General features: G+C 44.5%; 1 annotated feature.

The window, feature by feature from the left end:
• Positions 8,116–8,474: a transcriptional cis regulatory region, noted in NCBI's record as "candidate enhancer chr10.4281 targeted for multiplex CRISPR interference". NCBI's record gives its function as "positively regulates PDZD8 gene expression with high confidence in K562 cells {active_cell/tissue: K562}" and the evidence as "EXISTENCE:mutant phenotype evidence [ECO:0000015][PMID:30612741]".

A 9,577-nucleotide genomic window follows, 5' to 3' on the forward strand; every position in this document is an offset into this window, starting at 1 on the left:
ATGTAGGTTTTCATTTCTCTTGGGTATATACCAAGAAGTATAAACCCTGGATCATATGACTTTATGATAGCTCTATGTTTAACCTTTTGAGAAACTGCTAAACTTTTTTTCAAAGTAGCTGTACCATTTTACTTTCCCACCAGAGAGTATGAGGATTCCAATTTCTCCATTTGTTTGCCATCACTTGTCTTGATTTTAACCATCCTAATGGATGTGAGGTAGTATTCGATTGTGGTTTTGATGTGTATTTCCTTAAAGTCTAATGATGCTTTTCTTTGGATAAACGTGTTTTCAAATCTTTTGCTCATTTTTAAATTGGGCTATTTATCTTTTTATTACTAAGTTGCACGGGTTCCTTATAAATTCTAGGTACAATTTCTTTCTCAGATATATGTTTGCAAATATTTTCTCCAATTTTGTAAGTTTTCATTTCCTACTTTGATAGTGTTCTTTGAGGCATAAATGTTTTATTTATTTATTTATTTATTTTTATGACATAGGGTCTCACTCTGTTGCCCAGGCTGGAATGAAGTGGCATGATCATAGCTCACTGTAGCCTTGACCTCCCAGGCTCAAGTGATGCTCCCACCTCAGCCTCCCAAGTAGCTGGGACTACAGGTGTGTGCCACCGTGCCCAGCTAATGTTTTGTATTTTTGTGGAGATGGGATTTCACCATGTTGCCCAGACTGGTCTCAAACTCCTGGGCTCAAGTTATCTGCCTGCCTTGGCCTCACAAAGTACTGGGATTACAGGTGTGAACCACTGCGTCTGGCCAATGTTTTTAATCTTGATAAATTCAAATTTATCTATTTTTTTTTCTTCTGTTGCTTGTGCTTTTGGTGTCATACCTAAGAAGCCATTACCTAACCCCAGGTGACCAAAGATTTTCTTCTGTTTTCTTCTAGGAATTTTATAGTTTTAACTCATACATTTAGATCTGTAACACATTTCAAATTAATTTTTGTGTATGGTGTGAGAGAGGGGTTCAACTTTATTCTTTTGCATGTGGGTGTTCAGTTGTCCCAGAACCATTTGTTGAAAAGACTGCTTTTCTTTATTGAATTGTCTTGGTATCATTTCAAAAATCAATTGGCCATAAATGTGAGGTTTTGTTTCTGAACTTTCAATTCTATTCTGTTGATCTCTACGTTCATACTTCTAGCAGTACCATGCTTTTTTTTTTTTTTTTGAGATAGAGTATGGCTCTGTCACCCAGGGTGGAGTGCAGTGGCATGATCTCAGCTCACTGCAACCTTTGCCTCCCGGGTTCAAGCAATTCTCCTGTCTCAGCCTCACAAGTAGCTGGGATTACAGATATATGCCACCACACCTGGCTAATTTTTGTATTTTTTAGTAGAGACAGGGTTTCACCATATTAGTCAAGCTGGTCTCAAACTCCTGACCTCAGGTGAACCATCTGCCTTGGCCTCGCAAAGTGCTGGGATTACAGGCATGAGCCACCACGCCCAGCCCCTTCTTTATTATTGAATATGTTCTGTCCTCTCCCCAGGCATTCTGAACATCGCTTCCTTTGGACCTCACTGTTCTCAGTACATATTCCTACCCTTGCCTCTGTCACTCTACCATTTCCTTAAATTTGCTAATATGCCTGTCACTCCAACTAGATTGTGCTCCTTGAGGGCAAGGACTATAATCTTACCTGTCTCTATAACTCCAGGTCCAGGAATTCAAAGTGTGTTAAGTGAATGAATTGGATACATTTGGTATATATGAACTCCTGTGGGTAGAAGAGCACACTCTTGGGAGGCTGAGGCAGGAGGATTGCTTCTTTCACTCAGGAAGCAGAGGTTGAAGTGAGCCAAGATGGTACTACGGCACTACAGCCTGGATGACAGAGAAAAACCCTTCACAAAACAGAACAAAGAAAAAAACAAAACAAGAAAAAGGAGAACACACTCAAATTTTACAACTGTTAACCCTGCAAGGCACATCTGCGGGCGTGTTTTTCTTTTACAAACTGAGGAGGAGCTTTGGTCATTATTGGATTTGTGGATAGGTATTGGTTTATTAACAGTCTTGTTGGGCTTTATACATACCTACTTAAAATAAGTTTATTTCAGGACCTGAATTTTCTCAAATGCTTGAATGCATTGATTAAATAAACCCATGACTGTCAAAACTCCTCTTTTCCTGCAACTCTATGGAAATTGACCTAGACTCTCATTCAACCCCCAGCAAATTTTGTTCTCATTTGTGCAAAAGCCACTTTTCTCGAACCACACTTGGGCTCTTTATATCCTCTGATACCTTTGGATGAATAGGTGGAAGATGCTCGTGTGTTTCAGATGTTTTTACCCTTACTGTCTCACTTCCTGGCTCAGACCAAAATATCTCTGGACTGAAGACAGACCAAGAGCTGACCTAAGAACATCGATCCTGCCCATTTTGGACTACATGGCTTTTTATAGTCATCTCCATCAGCATGAGCATAATTAAGAGCATCCCTAGACTGAAGAGTGTTTTGTTCTTTCCACAAAATTGCTTAGCTGGACAGAACTTTTTTCTTCCATGTTCTTCAATTGCCTCAAAAGATTATGGGGGTGGGGTTGGGGGGTGGATCCCTTTCTTAAGAGGAGGAGCAAGACTGTCTTTTTGACCGAGGATGATTTCTCACTATAACATTTAATATGCAATTCACTGATTCTAATGAACAAAACTGACATATATTTCCAATGTAATATGAAGATTAGGAATCATCTACTTGAAACTACTTTACACATCTCTATTTTGCAAAGGACCCTTCATATCACTTTTAACCACAAAGCCACTGCAGAAGGCCTTGCGTGCCCTCCCCTGCCTCCGCACCCTTGTTTCAGAGTCCAGAGGTCATATGCAAAGCATTTCGTTTGTGAAATCAAGAATTCTCTTCCCCTCTACTTTAGATATAAACTTTTTTTTTTTTTTTTTTTTTTTGAGACAGAGTCTTTCTCTGTTGCTCAGGCTGGAGTGAAGTGGCACCATCTCTACTCTCTGCAACCTCTGCCTTCCAGGTTCAAGTGATTCCCCTGCCTCAGCCTCCTGAGTAGCTGGGATTACAGGCACCTGCCACCATGCCTGGCTAATTTTTGTATTTTTAGTAGAGGCAGGGTTTCACCATGTTGCCCAGGCTGGCCTCGAGCTCCTGACCTCAGGTGATCTGCCTGCCTCAGCCTCCCAAAGTGCTGGGATTACAGGCATGAGTCACCACACCCAGTCCTACTTTAGTCATAAACTTTTTGTATTAAAGCATCCCTAACTGGGCTGGGCATGGTGGCTCATGCCTGTAATCCCAGCACTTTGGGAGGCTGAAGCGGGTGGATCATGAGGTCAGGAGATCCAGACCATCCTGGCTAACATGGCGAAACCCCATCTCTACTAAAACTACAAAAAAAGTTAGCCGGGCATGGTGGCTGGCGCCTGTAGTTCCAGCTACTCGGAAGGCTGAGACAGGAGAATGGTGTGAACCCGGGAGGTGGAGCTTGCAGTGAGCCAAGATCGCGCCACTGCACTCCAGCCTGGGTGACAGAGCGAGACTCCATCTCAAAAAAAAAAAAGCATCCCTAACTGCTCATTCTGCTGTCAAAATCGATGCGGGGTCAAAACAGAAAAATTTCAGAAGAGAATTTAGAGCTACAGCCTGTGAGAAACAGCAAAAAGTGAAAACCAAAGACCTGCTTAGGAAAACCCTCATTGAAGAGATGGGGAGGAAGGGCCTGAGCCCCCTACTCCATTCCACAATCATGTAAGTCATTCTTCTTTCTCTTGCCCTGGGGACAGAGAGAGGCCAGCAGCCTTACTCTGATGTCATTTATTTCCCATAGAAACATAAAAAGACTCACCAAAGTACTTTTTTTTTTTTTAGATGGAGTTTTGCTCTTGTTGCCCAGGCTGGAGTGCAATGGTGCAATCTCAGCTCACTGCAACCTCTGCCTCCCGAGTTCAAGTGATTCTCCTGCCTCAGCCTCCTGAGTAGCTGGGATTATAGGCATGCAACACCATGCCTGGCTAATTTTATATTTTTAGTACAGACGGGGTTTCTCCATGTTGGTCAGGCTTGTTGTGAACTCCCAACCTCAGGTGATCCGCCCGCTTCAAACTCCCAAAGTGCTGGGATTACAGGCGTGAGCCACCGTGCCCGGCCCAAAGTACTTTTAGTCAGATAATGTTGGGAAACAAGGGTCAACGTTCAATAAGCAAGGTCAGTCTGATTTCATCATTGCAGACCAGGGAGACTAATTTCCTTATGTGCATTGTGATTCTCGAGGGAGAACATGTTGTATGGTTTTCTCTAAAGGCATTTGGCCATGTAGCATTTTCTTCCCAGATCAGCTCTTCTTAAGGTTAGTGTTCCAAGGTGCAAGCTTTGAGAAATGCTGCCTGACAACTTTTACAAAAGTCTAAACCCTGGGTGTGCATGTTAATTCGTATTTCTCTATCCACACCTGGGAACCCGCCTCTCAAAGCAGTCACTTCCAAGAAGGAGGAATGTTTGTGCTGTGTAGGGCATCTGTGGTTTAATTCAGGGAATTGTCACCATGCTATTTGGCCAAAGCTAAGCCACATCCTCTAATATAGCTTTTTCAGTAATAAAGATGATATTTTTATTTCCATTTGTCTAAATACTTTGTCCTCAATTTGTTCAAAACTCAGGCAGAATTTCTTTTCTGGAATCAAAATTCCAACAGGGACTGGGCATGGTGGTTCACGCCTGTAATTCCAGCACTTTGAGAGGCCGAGGCATGTGGGTCACTTGAGGTTGGGAGATGAAGGCCAGTCTGGCCAACAGGGTGAAGCCCCATCTCTATTAAAACTACAAAAATTAGCTCGGTGTGGTGGTGTATGCCTGTAATCCCAGCTACTCCAGAGGCTGAGGCAAGAGAATCGCCTGAACCCAGGAGGTGGAGGTTGCAGTTGAGCCAAGATCATGCCACTGCACTCCAGCCTGTGCAACAGAGTGAGACTCCACCAAAAAAAAAAAAAAAAAAAAAAAAAAAATTCCAACAGGGACCATGAAGCTGGGGTTCCTCTGGACACATTTTGAAAACCACTGCTGGAGGCTTATGCAATGCCAGAATGGAGATTTTTGCCATTTGCCGGTAAAAGAAGCTGCGTGAGGCTTCCTGCCAGGTCTCTGACCCCGTGTGGAGGTAAAAGAAAATGATGCAAACAAAAGCAAAGAAACAACAAGATCAAATTAAGAACTGATGGAGGGCTGGGTTTGGTGGCTTACACCTGTAATCCCAGCACTTTGGAAGGTTGAGGCAGGTGGATCACTTGAGACCAGGAGTTCAAGATCAGCCTGGCCAACATGGTGAAACCTTGTCTCTACTAAAAATACAAAAATTAGCCAGGCGTGGTGGTGTGCACTTGTAATCCCAGCCACTCAGGTGGCCAAGGCATGAGAAATGGTTGAACCCAGGAGGCAGAGGTTGCAGCTAGCCGAGATTGTGCCACTGCACTCCAGCCTGGGCAACAGAGTGAGACTCCATCTCAAAAAAAAAAAAAAAAAAAAAAAAATGAAAACAGGCCAGACGCGGTGTCTCACGCCTGTAATCCCAGCACTTTGGGAGGCCGAGGCGGACAGATCACGAGGTCAGGAGATCCAGACCATCCTGGCTAACATGGCGAAACCCCATCTCTACTAAAAATACAAAAAATTAGCTGGGCGTGGTGGCGGGCGCCTGTAGTCCCAGCTACTGGGGAGGCTGAGGAAGGAGAATAGCGTGAACCTGGGAGGCAGAGCTTGCAGTGAGTCGAGATTGTGCCACTGCACTCCAGCCTGGGCGACAGAGTAAGACTCCGTCTCAAACAAAACAAAACAAAACAAAACAAACAAACAAACAAAAACAAACGAAAACAAAGAATGATGGAGGCAGGGAGACCTGACCAAGTCCAGGAGAGAGATGCTGGGAACCTAATCCAGGGCAATGAGGGCTAGGGAGAGGGGAAGTCACTGAGAGGCGGATAGGTAGGCAGGACTTGATGCCCGATGGCTCTGGGGCAGAGGGCGGAGGGGAGCTGAGGAAGACGTCCAGGTGGCTGACTTGGATGACTGTGTGGATGGAGCTACATGAGGAGGAATGGAGGGGGAAGGAAGGTTGTAATTTTGATCTGAACTCCGTGTCCTCAACTCTTAGGGAGAGAGGAGGAGGGGAAGCAGTACTATTGGCAATTAGTAGGAAGAGGGAAATTATGAGTACAGTGTGAGGCTTTTGAAAGGAAATCCTCTCTGGGGTTGGGGTGGAAAATTACTAAGGTGAAAAACTTGCCTAGGGAAGCTTTAAGCTTTCTCTCTAGGGGGCTGCTTTACTTCACTTCCCTTCCAGACTCACAGCTTGGGAGGTGAGATGGGCAGCTTCTCAAGTAAGAAGAGCATTCCAATTCAAGGGGTGCTTTGTCAACTTAAGTTTCCAATTGCCATTCTGTTGTCCACATGTGTCATGTTTCTTTAAGTTATTGGGAGTAGATCTGTAGGGGCTGATCCCCCTGGGCCTGCAGGAGCTGGAATATCTGAGACTTTGTCTCACTGACTTCAGCAGGTTATATCCATGAGAAGCCTTGGTTAGTGGGATCGGCCTTCCTCTAATTTCTGCACTGTCTCCCTCAAGGAGGAGCTGTAAAGATCACGTGAGATAACAAACATAGTGCACCAAATGTATTGACTGGCACTTGGCCGGTGCTGCCCGCACTAGATCTTCTTTTAATATCCATAGCCCGCAAAATGCCAGATCTTGAAAAAGGCCATCCTGGTGGCTTAAAGCACTGACCTACTTGGGTGTGACTCCTGGGGATAATAATCCCACCATCAAAAGATCATGGTAAAGATTCGAAGTGACATGCCATATAAAGAGCTTAGTACAGGCCGGGCGTGGTGGCTCACATCTGTAATCCCGGCACTTTGGGAGGCCAAGGTGGGCAGATCACCTGAGGTCAGGAGTTCGAGACCAGCCTGGCCAACATGGTGACACCACATCTCCACTAAAAATACAAAAATTAGCTGAGCATGGTGGTGCATGCGTGTAGTCCCAGCTACTTAGGGGACTGAGGCAGGAGAATCTCTTGAATCCTGGAGGCAGAAGTTGCAGTGAGCTGAGATCCTGCCACTGCACTGCAGCCTGGGCAACAGAGCAAGACTCTGACTCAAAACAAACAAACAAAAAAAAGCCAAGTGCAGCAGCTGGCACCTAGCAGTACATCACAGTGGCCATTACATTATAATTATTCTCATCAATCCAAAAGAGACTGGAGAAGGTGTGACTTCAGATGTGATAGACCAAGGCTTCACTCTATCCCAGAATATTCAAAAACAAAATGCCACAAAACACTTTTCCCATTAAAAAAAACTCCAATTGCCTTATTCACATATCATCCTTCAGAATCTATAAACAGTTCGTATTGTGGGCTGTGCATCAGCTGATCACTCACACTTTGCAAGGCTGCTCAGGAATATTCGGTAAACTCATCTTAGGGCCCAGTGGGCTGTAAGGTATAGTGAGTTAAATGGTGGCCTCCAGAAAGATATGTCCAACTCCTAACTTCTGGTCCCTATAAATGTGACATTATTTGGAAAAAGGGTCTTTGCAGATATAGTTAAGGATCTAGATCATCCTGGATTAAATAGATGACAAGTGATGAGAGAGGAGAGGAGAAGACACAGGGACAAGAGGAGACGGTCATGTGAAGATGGAGGCAGGACTGGAGTTGTGCAGCCACTAGCCAAGGAATATCTGGAGCCACCAGAAGCTGGAGGAAGCAAAGAATAATCTTCCCACAGAGGCTTAGGAGGGAGCATGGCCTTCTGATGCCTTGATTTCAGGCTTCCGGCCTCCAGAACTGTGAGATAATAAGTTTCTGTTGTTCTAAGCCACCCAGTTTGTGGCAGTTTGTTACAACAGCCGTGGTTAGCTAATTTACAAGGAACAGAAACACACTTAAACTAACTTTGAGAACCAAAAAGGTGGAGGAAGGGCACTTTCTAGGAGGACTCGAGGGAATATTATGAATTCCAAGCACAGGAAGTTCAGGCTGGCCTCATAATGGACAAGGCTCAGAACCTAGACAGTTGGGAATGGGGTGGCTGTCATGACACCTGATCATTCCTCGTTTGTCATTTCTCTCTCTCTATGCCTGCAGGCTGGCTCTCTTTGGTTCCTCACTCATGGGGCCAGTCCAGGCACCTTGAACCTGACCTGTCTTCACATCCCATTTCAAGTGCCTAAGAGAAAGGCATATGGCTCTGTGGCCTGATTCCAAATTCCAGGGAGAGAAACTCACTCAACCTTGGTCCAATCAACTCTTGCTAAGGGATGAGCTCTTGTGTCTGGAGGCCTTTGTCCAAGGGTATCTGTTGCTGTCAGATACCCTTGGAAGTTCCTACTTGAGGGCCAAAGATAATTTTGAAGGGCAGAAAACCAGCCAGCTAAGTTCCATTCAGCCACCAACTTGACAGGTCAGGGAGAATCTAACCTTCTTTTCAAATCTTCCTTCCTGCTTTAGAAAATGTCCTTAGCCTTCTAACTTTCTGTCTCTGCCAACTCTTCCCTTTGATATAACCGCATCATATTACTGAGAAGGAAAAAGCAGAAAAGCCATCCATTTAGATTTTCTTTCTGTTCTAAGCATGAAGTTAATCCACTGGAACAAAAACATTATTGATTTTTATCTGTTATAGTCTTCTCCCTGAAACAACAAATGTGTACTACTATTGGTATAATATTTGGCTTGTTTTGGATGTAGACCTTAATAAAAATTACGGTTCATTATTTTTTCATATTGCCTTTGCATGGCTCCTTTAGACTCAGTGGCACATGACACGTTTGGAAGTTGAAAGACTTTATATTTGACTATAATGCTTTTGATCAACAGAGCAAAGCCTGAAACAAAACCCAAAGCCAAACCAGGCAGGGGTGTGGGGACAACAGGAGAAACAGGTTCTGGGGAGAGTCCCTTTCCTTGATGTTCATTCAAAAATCAGTGAGAGTTTGTTGAGTGCATAACTAAGTTCTGGGCATTTAGCTAAAGATAGGATTACAGAGGTGAAAAAGCTGGACTTCTATTTCCCACATGGAGCTTATAGCCGAGGGAGAGGCAGGCAGAGATAAAGGAAAATGATGCAAATAAATGCATATTTGCAAGCTTTAACAAAGGCTATGGAGGAACAGTGCTTTGGCACGATGAGAGTGAGTATGAGCAACTCGGGCAACCAGCCTGAGGGGGCAGGGAAGGCTTCTCTGAGGAAGGCTATTTCCTTGAGATCTGAAGGGTGAGTAGGTGTTTAAGTGGGTGAAGTGGAGAGGTAGAGGTTGGGAGGTGGGGCATCTTCCAGACAAAGGGAACTTTGAGTATAGATATTCATTATGCCATTCCTGTAGGAACCCATAAAATGTAAATCTACACACACACACACACACACAGACCCACAGAATCATGGAGGAATGAGCCATCAGGCAGCTGTGCTCTGCTTTTTTTGCCATCTGCAGGTAGAAGAGGCTACTTGAGGCTTTCTGCCAGGCCTCTGACCCCATGTGAATCTCCCTGGATCATTTTAAGAGGATCCTGAAATCCTTGGTCCTGTGG

The sequence above is a fragment of the Homo sapiens genome, chromosome 10 (genome assembly GCF_000001405.40).
Source record: "Homo sapiens chromosome 10, GRCh38.p14 Primary Assembly".
Taxonomy (NCBI): Eukaryota; Metazoa; Chordata; class Mammalia; order Primates; family Hominidae; genus Homo; species Homo sapiens.